Below are 20,293 nucleotides of genomic sequence, written 5' to 3' on the forward strand. Positions count from 1 at the left end.
GAAACAGCAATATGTCAATAAATTTGAAAACTTAGATGAAATGAACAATTTCCTAGATGAATATGTATTACCTAGAATCATAATTAAAGAAATTAAATTGGTAGTATAAAAAGCCCATCCTTAATTTATAAAAAATACATCAGGTCCTGATATTTTTAATATAAGTTTTATCAAATTTATAAGGAATAAGTAATCCATAAACAAATGATTCCAAGGAAAAAGGGAAAAAAAGAAAGCTTCCCGGTTTATTTTAGGAAGTTTCTATAACTTTGATACCAAAACAGGACAAGGACAATCCTGAGAAGAAAATTATAGATCAGTCTCAAATGAACATAAATACAAAAATGCTAAAAATTTAGCAAATATACTCCACCAGTATTAGTTATGTGTATGGGGTAGAGGGTGTGTGTGTGTGTGTGTGTGTGTGTGTGTGTGTGTGTGTGTATTGAGGAGAAAAAAAGAAAAACCATTAGAAGTAGATGGATATCATACATGCAAGGATGGTTTAACATTTAAGAATCTATTAATTTATTTTTACCTGATCAATAGAATAACCACATACTTATTCTAGTAAATTCAGAAAACACATTTGATAAAAATTCAGCACCCATTCATGAGTAAAATCCAACCAATAAACAATAAGACTCTTAGAAAACTAGGGATAGAATGTCTGCAGCAATACTAAACTTAATGGCAAAACATTTAAAATCATTAACAATAATTTCGGTTCTTTCTTCCTAGTTAGCATAGTGCTGATTCTAGTAACTTCTGGTGGGCCTTAAGTGCCCTTTTGAGGTTTGTAATGAGCTTTCTTGCATGATTTTTCTCCAGCAAAATTCTGCTCAGATTCAGGTGTAAAGAAAGTAGAGAGAAGGCTTCATCTAGGGGAGTGGTTTTGCCAGAATCCAGAGGCAATCTCAGTCCAAGAAATTGAGGGTGTTTGCTCAGGAGTTGTTAGAGTGATGCACTTTGTCTGACAGGGAAAGAGAAATAGAAGCCAGTTCCTTCGATGGACCAGTTATAAAGTAATGGGTTCAATGGATGGGCATTTCCAGTGGATAAAATTGTCCAGGTAAGCAAGGAGAAGAAGTGATGGTGAAAGGCCAGGAAGATGTGGTCAGAATGTGGGATGTTGAGAATCAAGACATCTGTGATGATAACAGGTTGGGGTGCACATAGCTGTGGTGGCACTGAAGAAACTGCTAGAGGAGGGAAGGAGTTGAAGAACCAAGAAGCCAGAGCTTGAAAACGGATGCTTCATGACAGTGTTGTAATTACTGCTAAGCTGATAGGAACCAGGGCCCAGTGGACAAAGGGGCCAGGAGGTTGATAGTAGAATGCAGATGGTTGACATAAACATCAGCAGGGAGGTTTCTGTGAGAGTCAAGAGTCATGCCTGCATGTGGCAGTGGGGAGCAAGGAGAATGCTACCCCTCTGCCTGGCCAGGAAGTCATGGGATATCAGAGGAAAAAAAGCTTTTAGTTGAGTCAGGGTGTCAGGGGAGGTGGTACCTTCAGAAACCAGCCATGTTTTAAAGAGGAAAGGAAATATTTTCTTCCAGAAGAGGCTGAGGATATTTGTTTGCTGCTGACAGATTGAATTGTAGGGGCAGGAGAGAAAGACCTCAGGGAGTGGGGAAGGCAGGGAAGAGCAGTAGGTAGACTGGGGTCCAGGAGGAGATGTACGCACAGCATCAGGTGAGGGTGTGGGGGATGATGACTGTCTTTCAGCAGCTACTAAAGCAAGGGGATTTGAGACCAATGGAGCTGACTTTTCGAAGCTTTTTGAAGGAGGGAGCTTATAGTTATCTCTGAGAGCCCTGTGTTCTGCTGAATGGTCCATCAGCTGATGGTGGTACCACTTCGTGAGTTTTCTGGCAGAGTCATGGAGGATCACAGAGTACATAAGTATGGAATGTGTGAGACAACCACCAACTATTCTCTTCTTAGATGCAGTCTCTTGAAGGACAGCAACCCTCCCACTCAGTTGGATTCTTTGAATATTATTTTGTTCATTCTCACAGCATTTAATAATAGGGCTTTTTATACAGATATCCACTTGGGGATTTTCTTCAATTTAGAGGTCTAAAGTAGATTTTGTAAGCAGACCATCTCCAAGTATATTTTTATAAGGATGTAATTCTATTTACCTTGAAGAGTATAGTAGTTATTTTTGCAAAACATGTATTTAGTTTAATTTTAACTTGAGAGTAAACTGAGTAGGTGATTTTTTTAAAAACTGCTTTCATGTCCAAGACTGTGCTTTGTTATTTTTGACCTGATAATTCCCCTTCTAGGAAATTATCTTTTTTTTTTTTTTTTTTTTGAGATGGAGTCTAGCTGTGTCGCCCAGGCTGGAGTGCAGTGGCATGATCTTGGCTCACTGCAAGCTCCGCCTCCTGAGTTCACGCCATTCTCCAGCCTCAGCCTCCCGAGTAGCTGGGACTACAGGCGCCCGCCACCACGCCCAGCTAATTTTTTTTTTGTATTTTTAGTAGAGACGGGGTTTCACCGTTTTAGCCAGGATGGTCTCGATCTCCTGACCTCGTGATCTGCCCGCCTCGGCCTCCCAAAGTGCTGGGATTACAGGTGTGAGCCACCGCGCCTGGCCGGAAATTATCTTAAAGATGAAATTGGACATGTGCAAAGATACGTGCAATAATATATATTACAAACTTGATCATAATAGGGAGATAATGGAAAGTGCCTAGATGCCCAGCTAAATACAGTCATATGATATGCCATGTAGCCACTACAAAGAAAGATTTACATGATATTAATTGACTTGAGAAGATGTTTAACAGTAAGTGAAAAGTCGCAAAGTAGCATATATAACATGATCCCACCTGTATGAAATGTTATATGAGTATGTGCCTGCTCATTACTCAGTAAACAGCTAAGTCTTTTAGGTGCCAGGGACTGTCTTAGATGCTGGGGTAGAATGATACCCACAGGATCCCTGACCTCATGGTGTACATTCTATAGGATTGAGTGTGGTAATAAAGGAAACAGATGAGGATTCATGCCAGTGCTAAGAAGGAAAACACTGTGGATAAGAGAGAGACTCACAGCGTGGAAGGAGGAAACCAAGTGAAACCTCTCTAAGGATATGACATTTGAGCTGAAGTCTGAAGGTCGAGATGGAGCCAGCAGCAGGGAAGACTGAGGAAGCCCATTTCAGAGGGAATGGCCCAGGCAGATGCTCTGAGATTAAGTATATTAATATACTTAGTATATTCTAAGAATTTAGGGAAGGCCCCAATAGAAGGAGCAAGGGTAGAGTACATAAGATGAAGTCAGGAAGGGTGTGGGTGTGGATGGTGGGGGTGACCCAGGACCTTACAGGCCGTGGTAAGGAGTTTGGATTTTATTCCAATTGCAATGAATGGGTAGTAGTCAAAGGACTATTTTCGAAGGCATGTATGTTTCAGGGTGGGGAATTGGATGATATGGGCAGTAGAGAAGGATCTGGAAGGATTGCTGATGGCTTGGATGTGACAGGTGGGAAAAGGCAGGATCAAGGGCAGCTTCTAGGTTTGGGGCTTAAGCAGCTGGGTGCAAACCACTGTCACTTAAGGAGGTGGAGGAGATTGGGAAAGGTCCAGTTGATTGGCCGGGGAAGGATGAGGATGGATATGAAAGGTGAGATTCAGGACATGCATTCCATATGTGATTTCAGCATCTGAATGGCATTGTCATGTAGGTAACTGGATATCTGAGACTGAAGCTCATGGCTGGGGGCTGGACATAGACTGGATAAGTTGACCTAGGGACTCAGTATAGAGAGGAAGCCCAGGACAACATTCTTGGGCTACTCCAGTGTGTTGAAGTCAGGTAGGGGAGATGAAGCCAGCAAGAGGATGAGAAGGAGTGACTAATGAGATAATCGGGCCATCACCCCCAGGCCTTTTGGCTAAGATCAAGTGTGGAGATAACTGGGCTGGGGGAAGGCGGTTACCGAGGATCAGAGTTTGCATGTATTTATGTACTTGCCTGTGAAGTAAGAGGTCTAGATTCTAAATGGATGTTCTAGAAATGTCAGCTGGGTTTATTTCTGTGTGGTGATATTTAAAGTAAATTTAATTTCTATCTTAGGCCATTCTGTGCTTTTACAACTTACTGAAAGATAGGGGGTCGGGCTCACACCTGTAATCCCAGCACTTTGGGAGGCCGAGGCAGGCAGATCATGAGGTCAGGAGATCGAGACCATCCTGGCTAACATGGTGAAACCCCATCTCTACTAAAAATACAAAAAATTAGCCGGGTGTGGTGGCACGAGGCTGTAGTCCAAGCTACTTGGGAAGCTGAGGCAGGAGAATCGCTTGAACCTGGGAGGCAGAGGTTGCAGTGAGCCGAGATCGTGCCACTGCATTCCAGCCTGGGCAAGACAGTGAGACTCTGTCTCAAAAAAAAAAAAAAAAAAGAAAGAAAGAAAGATAGGAGTTACTTTGTGAAACAAACAACATAAAAGTTTATAAAGAGTTAAATTTTTTGCTCTCTCCAGCCTTTCCTCTTATCCATGATCCAGAGACAACCACCTCTTGATAGTTGGGAGTATATTCTTCCAAAGATTATTGTGATGCTTACACAAGAATATATACAAATATTTACACATGTATACTTATATATGTTTTTGTTTTTGTTTTTTTGAGAAGGAGTTTCGCTCTTGTTGCCGAGGCTGGAGTGCAGTGGCACGATCTTAGCTCATTGCACCTCCTCCTCTGAGGTTCAAGCGATTCTCCTGCCTAAGAGGCTGGGATTACAGGTGCCTCCCACCACACCCGGCTAATTTTTTATATTTTTAGTAGACAGAGTGTGTCGCCATGTTGGCCAGGCTGGTCTTGAACTACTCACTTCAGGTGATCCACCCACTTTGGCCTCCCAAAGTGCTGGGATTACAGGCATAAGCCACTGCGCCCAGCCTATAAATATGTATTAATTGATTAATTGATATACTAAATATATATTATTAGTTCACTCAGCAATAAAAATAGGACTCGCCTCTTAGCAATACAAGATCTTATTTTTTAATAACTGCAAAATAGTTTATAAACATGCTATAACTTATATATTTTTCCCTATAATGGACATCCAGGTTATTTTTAATTATTATTCAAAAATTTGTAGTGAATATCTTTGTACACATACCTTGAATTACATTATTGAGGAAAAAAATACTGTTTTCTTTTGAGGAAATAGCAATAACAACAAATCTCCAAATCAAAATAAGACTAAAAGAGGATATTAAAAAAAGACTAATCTGGGCTAAGAATATTGGAATAATTCCCAGCTCCAATAGAGAATTGGATTAAATGTGAACTAAATGTGCATGTTACATTTGGTCACAAGTAACAGAAATTGGACTCTGGCGGCTAAACCAAATAGGGCTTTTACTTTTTTCCCTGTGAAGAGCAGCAGCGTAGTCCAGGGCTGGTGGTACAGCAGCTTTAAGTAGTCATTAGGGACCTGGGTTCTTTGAGCTTTTTGCTTTACCGTTCTTTTTGTGACTTGGGAATTTTATAATCACAGCATGGCTGTTGTACCTCTAGGTATCTTTTCTACACCCCAGGCAGGAAGAAGGAGTTGAGTAAAACTAAAAGGTAAAAGATGTATGCCAACATCCTCCCCTCTTTCGCTTTTTATTTATTTAGTCTATTTTGAGATGAGGCCTTGCTGTGTTGCCCAGGCTGGTCTTGAACTCCTGGGCTCAACTTATCCTCCTGTCTCAGCCTCCCAAAATGCTGAGATTATAGGCGTCTGCCACCATGCCCAGCTTCCTCCCCACTTTTTAAAATCAGGGAAACAGTTTTCCTGGAAGCCCAAGCTGATAGATTTTGTCTGCATCATAGTGGCCAGAACTAGGTCACATGGCTCACCCTAGTTGCAAGGGAATCCGGAGAGGTGAAAATTTGACTGAGTGTGTCACAGCACTCCCCAAAAGTGGGGGCTTCTGTTAATAAGGAAACAGGGGAGAATAGGTGTTAGATAGGTAACTAGTCATGTCTGTCATGCCTGAATTAAATTACACATGCTGCACACAGAAAAAAATGGAGAAATAACTTATATCGCTCAGGTGATTCTGCCATTCTTCTCAGTAGGCATGTGCCCTGGAGTTTGGGTGGGATGGGAGAATCTGTTCCCTCAGTTGATATCAGCTCCTACCAACCTCTTATTTATGAGCATCTAATTGGGCTGATAGGTGGGGCATGGTGGCTCACGCCTGTAATCCCAGCACTTTAGGAAGCCGAGGTGGGCGGATCACCTGAGGTGAGGAGTTTGAGACCAGCCTGGCCAATGTGGCGAAACCCCGTCTCTACTAAAAATACGAAAATTAGCTGGGCATGATGTTGCACGCCTGTAATTCCAGCTACTCAGGAAACTGAGGCAGGAGAATCACTTGAACCAGGAAGCAGAGGTTGCAGTAAGCCAAGATTGTGCCACTGCACTCCAGCCTTGCGACAGAGTGAGACTCCATCTCAAAATAATAATAATAATAATAGGTCTGATTGCCAATCTGGCTATTAACAACATGTAGTTTTCCTAGTGTGGCCCCTAAAGCCAGGCCACCCACTTCATCTGGTGCTATAACAGAGAAAGAGCTGTCTTATCTCCAACATCCAACAAAATCACCTGTTAGGTTAAACTATCGAGAGATGGCAGGTACATCTTCAGAGTGGCATGTGTTGAAGAGATTTCTGAGGATAACCAGGCAGTTTCTGCCGAGGACACTGACATGAGCTTTTGACAACCATGTAAGATGCTTCACTGAATACCTGAGTTAGTGAGATGTAGCGGATAAAAAGGAATGATGCTCCTATTGGCTCACAGGGTTCTTAGGGACTAAGAGGAGGACAGTTCGGCCTTGACTAATTACTGCTCTCCTTTTCCTTTTCTGCCAGCCTGGGCTGCCTGAAGACGAAGAGAAAGAGCAAGGTTATTGTTGGCTCAGGCCTTGTTAGCCAGACTTCGTGCTCTGTACGCATTCAATTTCCTCCCCTCCAAACATCATCCCTGGGAACTGCTGAGTTCAGATAGAATATATGTTGGTAGTTTGCAGTTGGGTTATTATCCATTTGTTCATAAAAATTAACCTTTTGTATTAAAATTTGGTCAGATAGTATTAATAGAAAGTTCAGGATGTTAAACAACTTGGAGTGGTGTTGCTTTTTTTTTATAAAAGTAAAATGGACTTTTTTTTGTTTGAGAAATGTCTTCAAGTTTTGTGTGAATAAAACACTTTAGCAGCATCTGTATAAATACAATTGGATGTGTCTCTTGGAAGGAGAAATTTGAGTTGAAGATGATGAAGGTAGCTCAGGTAAAAATGGTGGCTTTACATTTGTTTTAATTGATTAATTAATTTTTTTGAGACAGAGTCTCACTGTGTCACCCAGGCTGGAGTGCAGTGGCACGATCTCAGCTCACTGCAATGTCCGCCTCCCAAGTTCAAGCGATTCTCTGCCTCAGCCTCCCAAGTAGCTGGGATTATAGGCGTGTGCCACCACGGCTAGCTAATTTTTATATTTTTAGTAGAGACAGGGTTTCACCATCTTGGCCAGGCCGATCTTGAACTCTGGGCCTCGTGATCCACGCACCTTGGCCTGCTGAAGTGCTGGGATTACTGACATGAGCCACCGTGCCCAGCCTGTGATATGTTTTGAAAATAAACTTATTAGGAGGTCTCATTTGATCTGCAAATATTCTCATTTCTCCAGCACTTCAACAAAAGTGTCACCTTTAGCAGGGCAGAAATATTCATCATGTTGTTATTAATTACTAGATGCTCTAGTGAAGTTTGAGTGGATGAAATTGCACATACAGGTAAGCATTTGAATTTATTTTGGAAAAATGGAGCCTACATCATTTAAGGCCATCTACAAAGTACCTTTGTTCATGACTGGATAAGTGAAGTGAAAGACTGCAGACTGAATACTTTATTCACTATATAATAAAACTTAGTTACATTATGTAGGTTATTAATTTATAGTTTAATTTGTCTAAAACGTTTATAATTCCTATTTTGCCATCTTCTATATAATTTTTCTTTTTTGAGACGGAGTCTCGCTCATGTTGTCTAGTCTGAAGTGCAATGGCCCGATCTCGGCTCACTGCAACCTCCCCCTCCCAGGTTCAAGTGATTCGCCTGCCTCAGCCTCCCGAGTAGCTAGGATTACAGGCACACACCACCACAACTGGCTAATTTTTTGTATTTTTAGTAGAGATGGGGCTTCACCATCTTGGCCAGGCTGGTCTCAAACTCCTGACCTCAGGTGATCCGCCTGCCTTGGCCTCCCAAAGTGCTGGATTGCAGGCATGAGCCACCACACCCAGCCAAGAGCACTTATTTTTTAAGTCCAAAAAACATGAATGAGGTTAACTAACTTCATTTCGTTTAGGTATATCCAGTTCAGGGCTCACAGTTTCTCATGACCTGAGAGTGTATGGATTTCAGTGCCATTACATGGACTGTCTTCATTGAAGTACGTCTGAAGAATTTATATGACTTCCAGCACCTAGTGAGCATATATTTGAGCACTGTTCTCTACAAACCCTTGAGTAAGCTGATGTGGCAGATGTTAGGATGGATACGACGCTATCTTAGCTGCAAAGAACTTAGTCTAGAGAGGACAGTAAGACACCCAGGTCACTGTAAATCAAGGCTCTATGTGACAAGTGCCAAAATGAAGTGTAAAGTGATCACCATCGGGATTATGAGGAGGTAGAAGTCATTTTTGTTGGGGTGGCAGGATGGCTTCCTGGAGGAGAGGTATCACTTGAAATAGATCTTGAAGGATGAAGGAGTTTTTTTCTAGGATTAGGAAAGAGATGCTTTCATGAATATAAGAACAGAGAAGAAAAATGCAGAATTTGTTTGAGGCCATAATACTATGGAGTATTAGTGGGAATTAAATTTAGCTAGGCCCAAACTAAAGTGTCTTTACCAGCTTGATTAGAAGGACTTTATTCTGTAGGTGAGAAGAAGCCACTGAAGACATCAGGAGCACAGTGGTTTTGGAAGATTAATCTGGTAGCAATATGAAGGCTGCATTCAGTACACTGTGGGAGGTTACTGTTACAATAAACGCCTCAACTAAAATAGGACTGGGAATGAAAAAGAGGGGACAGAGATGAGAGGCTATGGTAGGTGTAAGATTTAAAGAGCTAATTTTGAGGATGGGTTGATGGAAGTTGCAAAAACCATGAGCTTGAGATATTGGGGACATCTCTTTGGAAATACTAGAGAGGCTCTACTGCACATTGTCTTCTTCAGCGAATCCTTATAGCACTTCCTGTGTGCCATGTGCTGTGCTGGGTGCCAAGGATTCAATGTGATTTTGCCCCTGCCTGCAAGGAGTGGCAGTCTAATGGGGAGACAGACATCAGTCCAACACTTAGACAGAGAAACAGGAAAACAGCCTGGGGAGTGCTGTGCCAGGTGGTGTGTGAGCTCCCCTGGCCTGAAAAGGCAGGGCGGGGTGGCAGGATGCAGGAATCGATGTGCTTTTCCAGGCAACACGGAGAGAAGGCTGGACCAGGAGGCATCCTGGAGATGCTGACATCCAGCCCTCGGGGAAGAAGAGCAGCGTCAGCTTCCTCACCCTGACCTTGGGGACTGAGCCAGCCTTTGGGCCCATTCCCAGCCCTACACTCAGGCTCCCTTCCTTTTTGACTCACTCGTAGCCGGGAACAGCCCTGTAGCTACCCCAGCAGACTCTGTTGCCATCTGTGGCCTCAGCCTCATTTGTCATTTTAGGTGTTCCTCTGTGCTCTGACCTTCCATCCTCCGAGCAGCTCCCCTGAGGATTTGCTTTGCCCTCAGGCAGCAGATGAACTCCTGGCTTTTGCACTTGGAACCTCAGCCAACCAGGCCTGCGTGAACCAACCTCCCCTCTTGACTCCTTCCCCAACCTTCTTCCTGTGACAGAGACCGAGGCCAGTTTTTTTGCAGGGTTCAGGGCTCTAGTAGACTGCTTTCAGGGGGATTTGCTAGAGGCCATAGATGACTATAGGGAAGGGTCTTCTTTCCTGTATCGTATTAAGTTTTTATTGAACTCTATGGTTTTAAGAACTTTTTAAATTTTAGATTCGGGGGTGTATGTGTAGGTTTGTTAAAGGGTATATTGTGTGATGCTGAGGTTTAGGCTTCTGTTGACCCTGTCACCCAGATAGTGAGCATAGTACCCAATAGGAAGGTTTTCAATTCCCCCACCCCTGCCTTTTGGAGTCCCCAGTGTCAATTGTTCCCCTTTTATGTCCATGTGCACTCAAGGTTTAGCTCCCACATATAAGTGAGAACATGCGGTATTTGGTTTTCTGCCCCTGCATTAATTTGCTTAGGATAATGGCCTCCAGCTGCTTCCATGTCACTGCAAAGGATATGATTTCATTCTTTTTTATGGCTGTGTAGTATTCCATGGTGTATATATACCACATTTTCTTTATCCAATCCACTGTTGATGGGCACCTGGGTTGATTCTGTGTCTTTGCTATTGTGGATAGTGCTGGATAAACATACAAATGCAGGTATCTTTTTGGTAGAACAATTTATTTTCCTTTGGGTAGATGATACCCAGTAGTGGGATTGCTGGGTTGAATGGTAATTCAGGTTTTCGTTCTTTGAGAAATCTCCAAACTGCTCTCCACAGGGGCTGAACTCATTTACATTCCCACCAACAGGGTATACGCATTCCCTTTTCTCTGCAGTCTCGCCAGCATGTTGTTGTGGGCATTTTTCCCTGTGGTGACAAAGGCACCTGAAGCATCCCCTGCCCCAGCCCCATGAGCTGAGCAAGGGGCCGGCTTCTTTCTTACTGCTTCCTCCTCCTCCATCTCAGCTGCAGTCACTCAGATGCTCCTGAAAGTATTCAACACATACACCCCTTAGCTCTTCCTCCCTTTCAGCAACTACTGTAACTGTTCCTTCACATCCCTAGTTCTTCAGAAGGATTTTCATATGGCTTGCTTCATCATTGTTTTTCTTCGACTTCCCATTCATTCTAAAGCCCCCTGTAATCTGCCAACTGCCTCCCAAGGGCCAAATTCAGTGCCTTCCCCCCCCACGCCTTCACTAGTTGCTCACCTTGCTGCCTTGCAGCGTTTTTCTCTGTTTAAATATTCTCTTTTTCCTTGGCTTCTGGGACACCACTTTCTTTGAAGTCTATTTGAACTCTTCACCCGTCAAAACTAACCTCAGGCATTACTTCCTTTAGGAATGTTTCTCTGGCAATATATATATATATATATATATATATATTTTTTTTTTTTTTTTTTTTTTTTTTTTGAGAGGGAGTCTTACTCTGTTGCCCAGGCTAGAGTGCAGTGGCGTGATCTCGGCTCACTGCAACCTCTGCCTCCCAGGTTCAAGTGATTCTCCTGCCTCAGCCTGCCAAGTAACTGGGATTACAGGCATGGCCACCACGCCTGGCTAATTTTTGTAGTTTTGGTAGAGACGAGAATTCACCATGTTGGCCAGGCTGGTCTCGAACTCCTGACCTCAGGTGATCTGCCCATCTTGGTCTCCCACAGTGCTGGGATTACAGGCGTGCGCCACTGTGCCCGGCCTCAATACTTATTTTATAGCTAAATGTTTATCTACTTTATTAGACTATGAACTCTGAGGACAGATATTTCATCTAGATCATTCTATATCCCTAACACGATACGTAGTGCTGGACAAGATTTGATGAATTTTTAGACTGAATATAACTATTTCCAGAGTTTATCAAACTCCATAGGTCTAAACTAGCTTGAAAAGAATAGGAGCTGGTTCTACATGAGCTGTCTTACGTACAGTGCTTCAGTCTCAGAGAAATCTGCAACATCTATCATTTGTTTCTAGGGCCACTGCCGGTAAGTCTGTGTTCATCTCCCTGTAAGTATATCATATGGGCCCAGGCGAAACTCTATATAGACTTTCTCCTTTTGTTGTTCAATGTATAGGCATCACAAATTCAAATGCCTTCAGGGGCCAGCCAGGTTAATAGGCTGAATAAAAAGGATGAATGGGCCGGGTGCCGTGGCTCACACCTGTAATCCTAGCACTTTGGGAGGCTGAGGTGGGCAGATCACCTGAGGTCAGGAGTTCGAGACCAGCCTGGCCAACATGGCAAAACCCTGTCTTTATTGAAAAAAAAAAAAAAAAATTAGCCGGGAGTGGTGGCACATGCCTGTAATCCCAGCTACTTGGGAGGCTGAGGCAGAGGTTGCAGTGAGCTGAGATCACACCATTGCATTCCAGCCTGGGCAACAAAGTGAGACTCTTGTCTCAAAAAAAAGAAAAAGAAAAAGGATGAGTGATGGTGATTGTGGCAACTACAAGAGAAAATGCCCATCTCAAGTCATCCAGGTAGCTATAGACCATGGCACATGCAACATCAAGGGATGTGTGACAAGCTTCGCCTTCCTCAGCCTACCAAATGTGGTCACAGACACTTTCAGAACAGGCTCCCGGTGGGTTGCTCGTTAGATCCACAATGACCGCATTTACCAATTGCTCAATGAGGGTACGGATTACAGATTTCCTTGTCCTCTCAGTGTTATTCCAGTGTTCTGCAGTGCAATTGAAGATGGAAAAATGACCTACAAATCAATAGCTTTCAGTCTTTTTCCCCCTATGACTGAAAGTCATGTTTTACTGAAGGTCAGGGAATCCTGAGGTGACTGTAGTTAGTCTCCTAGGAGTGATTATTTCCTTGCATACTCTGGAGAGAAACTCTTCCTTAAATATGGGAATGTAATTTTTCTTGGAAGAGAGCCTGCTGTAACAAAAACACATGCTGAATTTTTTCTTTGCATAAAGGAATTAAGAGGCTTATTGATGTGAACGCTTGTTGAATAAGCAGCTCTTTAAGTTTGTGACAACAGTTATTAGGCTTGCCATAGAGACATAGGATTTATCTTTTATTTTTAAACACAAAGTTTTATTAAGTTCCACCCACCATTTAAAATAACAAAGGGAAGGCTCCTCTAAAACGTTAACCTCCCACCCCAAACTCTAGCCCCCATTCAGATAGCTAAAATAAGGTCTTCTCCTATTCCCTCTTCTCCTCCTGCCCTTCCTTAAAATCTATCCTGTCCCACCTGTCACTATCCAGGAATTTAAGCAATTTTTTAATCAGACTTTGAGCACATCTTTTGTAGTTTTCTTTAGGATCTGTGTCTCATTATACTTAATATCACATTCAAAACTCGACTCTCTACACTGACAAAACGCCAACCTGTGGTCCTGCCCCTCGCCTCAACTCTCCCAGGCATCCTCACAGTCAGGCCTCACTCACCTACATCTCCTCCCGAGCTGAGCTGACCACCTCTCTCCCCATGCAGGTGCTCTGTGAATTGTATCCTGGGTTTCAGGGCATTGCACGATGTCGTTCCTGCCTAAAAATTTCTCCTCAAACAAATCTAGTGCTCCTCCCTAGGTGGCTTTATATAGCAATTTATTAATTATCGTCTTTATATCCTCTGCTAATCTTACGTTTTTCTAGTGAATGGCCATTTTTGAAACAGCTTAACTTGGTATATGAATACAATGTAAAGGTAATGATATAATCCATTGCTCACTGAAACAAGAGAAGAATTAAATGTCTAAAATTCATGGCTAAAATAATGCCTTATTGTAAAAATAACTCCCAAGTGATAGGTCATTTGGAATTCCATGCAGGCATACATTTTAACTGCTTTGAACCAAATAAAACTCGCAACATGCATTTAATGTAAAAATCAATTTATTATACAACAATCATAGATAATGCTTTTTATCTACAAAGAGAAATGGCTTCTGCAGCCTCCCTGTCTACTCCATTCATGATACTATGTTCTTAAGATATAATTACTTTCAAAGGAAAACAAAGCGATATCCATATTTTCCAAACAAGGAAGCCCCCAGACACATTTATGAACGATATGGAAATATTGGAAAGAACTCAAATGGACTCCTAGATACAAAAGGCTGTTCTGCCCATCACAGTAAACACTGTTTTGCCTTAAAATAAAAATAATAAAATATTTCTCAAATGCAGGGGTGAGGACTTTACCCCGTAACATGCCTAAGTGGTTCGATATATAATTTTGATGGCTTGACAATTGCTATGTTTAATTCCATTCAGTTAACATTCCATTTTGTTAGTTTAAAAAATTGGGGGAATTATTAATAGATATGCTTTACAGTATTTAAGTATTTTCATTCCCATGGGTCAGAGGAAATTTGAGAGAAAACATTCTCCATTTTTTTTAATAGATTATAGAAATATTAATTTTTCAATAGTTTTAGAAAAATCACATTAAAATAAGCATTTTGGTTTTTTGAAGTTACAACACTTAACGACAGGTTAAAATGTTTACCTGATTTATTTTTTGTGGCTAAGATTTCATAACTATTTTTTTAATTAGCCCTTGAATGGTTTAAGGCTATAAGTGTTTTATGAAGCATCTCTTGAATTGAAGACCAAATTGGAAATACACATCATGAATGAAACCTCTCTCTAGTCACTGGCATTAGTTTGAAAGTATAAGCTACCCACATTTTTCACTTTCATCAGAGAGGTTTCAAGCTGCCTTGTACTTAAAGCTGCTTGACTTTGTCTGCTGAAGGACAGCTCCCTCCTTGCCATACAGATATGAAGCCCAGGAAAACATCCAGAGTGGCAGGTATGCTATGCACTGAGACCTTAGGGCCTCACTGGCACGTAAGAATAAGCTGAATGTGATGACCAGTGAGCATATTAGACCAGTCTGTCTTCTAAGTCTCATTTTTATCTGGAACGCACTTTGGTAAGAGATTTCAGCCTATATTTGAGATCTAAACTGAACTAGGGTCCAGTTTCTCCAAAGGGCTTTCTCCTTGGTCCAACTTGTGTTTTGTCACAGAGGAGCCATTAACAGTCATGCTTGAAGCTAGCCCTTGTTTTAAAATAAATTGCTGGGAGAGAACAAGACAGAACAGTTATAAGGTGATGCAAGATGGAAGTGGTGATGAAGCACCCTAGAGCAAGTCAGCTTCAGAAAATGATTTAGAAAGATAAATGTAAGAGTCAGGGGCATCACACAGGAGACATCTGTTCAACAGAAATGGGTCGGCCGCACTGAAGGGAAGGAAGCAGGTGCAGTGCATCACCCTAGAGACTATCCTAAGCATTAGGCACCTTCCAAAAAATATGCCCAAATCCTCAGAGGGGCAGTTTACATGAAATAAAAGTACAATTTTTTTAACAGGAGAAAGTTTAAAACTAGAGCTCAGGGGGGAAAAAAAGCCGAGAGAGAAAGGCACTCTGGACGCTAATGAGTGGGGACGGTGGTGGAAATGCCTTTCTGGTGTGCATGTATTTGATGTCAGTGTCAGGACCTAAAAACTTATTTAAAAAAATAAGGCAGGAGAGAAGATGAAGTGACTTCATCGAAGCTAACAAGTTTTATTTTATAGGGTATAAATTAATCTTCAAAAAAATCTTCAGAAAATATTCTTTGTTTCCATTCTTGGTAGAGTTTAGTAGTGAGTAACAGTCCTGCACTTATGGAGAAAGGAAATACTCATTAATACTTTTGTCTACTTTTGTGCTTGCTTCTCGGTAGAGATCGCATATACCTGAGCAGGGAACAGGAGTGCTGAGTTTGCCAAACTGGCATTTTTTATCGTGGCTCATGACCGGCCCACGGCTCAGTGCTGGAATCTTTCCAAGCTACTCCATCTTTTTCCTCCCAGCTTCAAAAACTTAAATAACCTGTGAAGAGTGACAACAGGTATCTGAGGTAATATTCACAAGTAGGCTCACAAAAAAGAGTTGACGAATTCAGTGCCTATTTTGCTCCCATCACTCTGCTACTTCTGCTAGTTCTGATTTATACATATTCCAGCAGCATGCATGTTCAAAGAAAAAGGTCGGAGTGGACTCCAGTGCTTGCTCAGAAAGTAAACGGGCAGCCAGATTTGTACACTGCTCGTGGTGTGGAGCATGGCATCTGTATAACCTAGGCTGACTGGCACAAGAGGGAGACATGAACAGATGAATGATTAGGGAAACAGAGGAACAATCCTATCCACAGCCCCTGAATTATGAAAATCTTGCAGAAGCATTTTTTTCTCCTTAGAATAACTAATATTTAAAATAAATACCAATTTCATTACCATATCACTAAATTTAGAATCAGGAGTGGTTGTGGGAATCTGATAGACAAGACTCTGGCTTACAGAAAGAGAAGTTTTGCTAGATTTTTCTATCTTCTGTGTATGATCCCATTTTAATATTTTCTGGGGTTGATTGCTAAAGGAACAAATGGAATGATTATGCACTGGCATTATTGCTTAATATAGATTAGAACATACCCTGTATTTAGAATATAATTAACATTTTGTTGTAAACATTTTAATCTGAACAAAACCCTTTTTATTTGGAGACTCTCTGTGAGAAACAATGCTCCACGTTTCCTGGCTGTGTATGCGTATAAGGCGTTATAAGGACAGCTTCTGGCGAAAGGTTCAGTCTGTGGGAGGGAGGGAGAGAGAAGCTGCACCAGTTCTGAGGTCCTCGGAGGTGAGCATCACCTCAATGCTGATCAAAGCATTCAGTTAACAGATTAACCTAATAGCAATATATTAATACATTCTGGGTACAAATGATTTATGAACTCAAAAGAAATTAGTTTATCCTAAAACATGTAACCTTCAATTCAGTCTTTGCTTTAAAACAAGCCAATCTGTTAGGCTAGTATATGTGCTTTTTCTGTTACTCATTTTTATTGTGCTTTCTTGTTCATCACTCCATTTGCTGCAGTGAAGTAGGCTTTGGAAAAACCATTCTTCACTTCTTTCCCTGCAGGTGGCTCTTGCATATCTTTCTTCATTGGCTTTTTTCGGTATGTCTGTTGGATGTGTATATTTTGAAGAGAAAAATAAAAAGGTTATTTAATAAGACCTTGTCTTTAACAGTGCATATAGTTAAAACAGTATGTGATTTTGTTGGGCGCAGGATTTTCTGTTTTTGTCTTTTTGAGGCAGAGTTTCAATCTGTCACCCAGGCTGGAGTGCAATGGCACGATCCCCGTTCACTGCGACCTCCGCCTCCCGGGTTCAAGTGATTCTCCTGCCTCAGCCTCCCAAGTAGCTGGGACTACAGGTGCACACCACCATGCCCGGCTAATTTATGTATTTTTAGTAGAGATGGGGTTTCACCATGTTGCCCAGGCTTGTCTTGAACTCCTGACCTCAGATGATCCACCCGCCTCGGCCTCCCAAAGTACTAAGATTACAGGCGTGAGCCACTGTGCCCAGTTGGGCACTGGATTTTCTAATAAGATTTCATGTTTATATATTATATTTTTTATTATTATTATACTTTAAGTTTTAGGGAACATGTGCACAATGTGCAGGTTAGTTACATATGTATACATGTGCCATGCTGGTGTGCTGCACCCATTAACTCGTCATTTAGCATTAGGTATATCTCCTAAAGCTATCCCTCCCCCCTCCCCCCACCCCACAACAGTCCCCAGAATGTGATGTTCCCCTTCCTGTGTCCATGTGTTCTCATTGTTCAATTCCCACCTATGAGTGAGAACATGCGGTGTTTGGTTTTTTGTTCTTGCGATAGTTTACTGAGAATGATGATTTCCAATTTCATCCATGTCCCTACAAAGGACATGAACTCATCATTTTTTATGGCTGCATAGTATTCCATGGTGTATATGTGCCATATTTTCTTAATCCAGTCTATCATTGTTGGACATTTGGGTTGGTTCCAAGTCTTTGCTATTGTGAATAGTGCTGCAGTAAACATACGTGTGCATGTGTCTTTATAGCAGCATGATTTATAGTCCTTTGGGTATATACCCAGTGATGGGATGGCTGGGTCAAATGGTATTTCTAGTTCTAGATCCCTGAGGAATCGCCACACTGACTTCCACAAGGGTTGAACTAGTTTACAGTGTAAACACCAACAGTGTAAAAGTGTTCCTATTTCTCCACATCCTCTCCAGCACCTGTTGTTTCCTGACTTTTTAATGACTGCCATTCTAACTGGTGTGAGATGTTATCTCATTGTGGTTTGGATTTGTATTTCTCTGATGGCCAGTGATGGTGAGCATTTTTTCATGTGTTTTTTTGGCTGCATAAATGTCTTCTTTTGAGAAGTGTCTGTTCATGTCTTTCGCCCACTTTTTGATGGGGTTGTTTTTTTCTTGTAAATTTGTTTGAGTTCATTGTAGATTCTGGATATTAGCCCTTTGTCAGATGAGTAGGTTGTGAAAATTTTCTCCCATTCTGTAGGTTGCCTGTTCACTCTGATGGTCGTTTCTTTTGCTGTGCAGAAGTTCTTTAGTTTAATTAGATCCCATTTGTCAATTTTGGCTTTTGTTGCCATTGCTTTTGGTGTTTTGGACATGAAGTCCTTGCCCATGCCTATGTCCTGAATGGTAATGCCTAGGTTTTTATGGTTTTAGGTCTAACGTTTAAGTCTTTAATCCATCTTGAAGTAATTTTTGTATAAGGTGTAAGGAAGGATCCAGTTTCAGCTTTCTACATATGGCTAGCCAGTTTTCCCAGCACCATTTATTAAATAGGGAATCCTTTCCCCATTGCTTGTTTTTCTCAGGTTTGTCAAAGATCAGATAGTTGTAGATACGCAGCATTATTTCTGAGGGCTCTGTTCTGTTCCATTGATCTATATCTCTGTTTTGGTAACAGTACCATGCTGTTTTGGTTACTGTAGCCTTGTAGTATAGTTTGAAGTCAGGTAGCGTGATGCCTCCAACTTTGTTCTTTTGGCTTAGGATTGACTTGGCGATGCAGGCTCTTTTTTGGTGCCATATGAACTTTAAAGTAGTTTTTTCCAATTCTGTGAAGAAAGTCATTGGTAGCTTGATGGGGATGGCATTGAATCTATAAATTACCTTGGGCAGTATGGCCATTTTCACGATATTGATTCTTCCTACCCATGAGCATGGAATGTTCTTCCATTTGTTTGTATCCTTTTTTATTTCATTGAGCAGTGTTTTGTAGTTCTCCTTGAAGAGGTCCTTCACATCCCTTGTAAGTTGGATTCCTAGGTATCTTATTCTCTTTGAAGCAATTGTGAATGGGAGTTCACTCATGATTTGGCTCTCTGTTTGTCTGTTATTGGTGTATAAGAATGCTTGTGATTTTTTGTACATTGATTTTGTATCCTGAGACTTTGCTGAAGTTGCTTATCAGCTTAAGGAGATTTTGGGCTGAGACATGGGGTTTTCTAGATATACAATCATGTCACCTGCAAACAGGGACAGTTTGACTTCCTCTTTTCCTAATTGAATACCCTTTATTTCCTTCTCCTGCCTAATTGCCCTGGCCAGAACTTCCAACACTGTGTTGAATAAGAGTGGTGAGAGAGGGCATCCCTGTCTTGTGCCAGTTTTCAAAGGGAATGCTTCCAGTTTTTGCCCATTCAGTATGATATTGGCTGTGGGTTTGTCATAGACAGCTCTTATTATTTTGAGATACGTCCCATCAATACCTAATTTACTGAGAGTTTTTAGCATGAAGGGTTGTTGAATTTTGTCAAAGGCCTTTTCTGCATCTATTGAGATAATCATGTGGTTTTTGTCTTTGGTTCTGTTTATATGCTGGATTACATTTATTGATTTGCATATATTGAACCAGCCTTGCATCCCAGGGATGAAGCCCACTTGGTCATGGTGGATAAGCTTTTTGATGTGCTGCTGGATTCGGTTTGCCAGTATTTTATTGAGGATTTTTGCATCAATGTTCATCAAGGATATTGGTCTAAAATTCTCTTTTTTGGTTGTGTCTCTGCCTGGCTTTGGTATCATGATGATGCTGGCCTCATAAAATGAGTTAGGGAGGATTCCCTCTTTTTCTGTTGATTGGAATGGTTTCAGAAGGAATGGTACCAGTTCCTCCTTGTACCTCTGGTAGAATTCGGCTGTGAATCCATCTGGTCCTGGACTCTTTTTGGTTGGTAAGCTATTGATTATTTCCACAATTTCAGAGCCTGTTACTGGTCTATTCAGAGATTCAGCTTCTTCCTGGTTTAGTCTTGGGAGGGTGTATGTGTCGAGGAATTCATCCATTTCTTCTAGATTTTCCAGTTTATTTGCATAGAGGTGTTTGTAGTATTCTCTGATGGTAGTTTGTATTTCTGTGGGATCGGTGGTGATATCCCTTTATCATTTTTTATTGCATCTATTTGATTCTTCTCTCTTTTCTTCTTTATTAGTCTTGCTAGCAGTCTATCAATTTTGTTGATCCTTTCAAAAAACCAGCTCCTGGATTCATTGATTTTTTGAAGGGTTTTTTGTGTCTCTATTT

The 20,293-nt window shown here is 41.5% G+C and overlaps 2 protein-coding genes across 4 annotated transcripts in view, besides 1 other annotated feature; one reads left to right on the forward strand and one right to left on the reverse strand.

Moving 5' to 3' along the window:
* The window catches only part of SYCP2L (synaptonemal complex protein 2 like), an 87,258-nt gene extending 80,001 nt beyond the window's left edge, over positions 1–7,257 (forward strand). The window contains exon 30 of the mRNA NM_001040274.3: positions 6,900–7,257. The gene's annotated coding sequence lies outside the window, so the exon portion shown is untranslated. The remainder of the gene's footprint in view (positions 1–6,899) is intronic.
* Positions 9,131–9,631: an enhancer, noted in NCBI's record as "H3K4me1 hESC enhancer chr6:10976416-10976916 (GRCh37/hg19 assembly coordinates)". NCBI's record gives its function as "activates a minimal SCP1, AML or CMV promoter by ChIP-STARR-seq in primed H9 embryonic stem cells {active_cell/tissue: H9 hESC(primed)}" and the evidence as "EXISTENCE:reporter gene assay evidence [ECO:0000049][PMID:30033119]".
* The window catches only part of ELOVL2 (ELOVL fatty acid elongase 2), a 63,547-nt gene continuing 56,960 nt past the window's right edge, over positions 13,707–20,293 (reverse strand). For all 3 annotated transcript variants that reach the window (NM_017770.4, XM_011514717.4, XM_011514716.4), the window contains exon 8: positions 13,707–16,854. In NM_017770.4, coding sequence (NP_060240.3) covers positions 16,729–16,854 — 126 coding nt within the window. In that variant the 3' untranslated portion in view covers positions 13,707–16,728. The remainder of the gene's footprint in view (positions 16,855–20,293) is intronic.

The sequence above is a fragment of the Homo sapiens genome, chromosome 6 (assembly GCF_000001405.40).
Source record: "Homo sapiens chromosome 6, GRCh38.p14 Primary Assembly".
In the NCBI taxonomy this organism is placed as follows: Eukaryota; Metazoa; Chordata; class Mammalia; order Primates; family Hominidae; genus Homo; species Homo sapiens.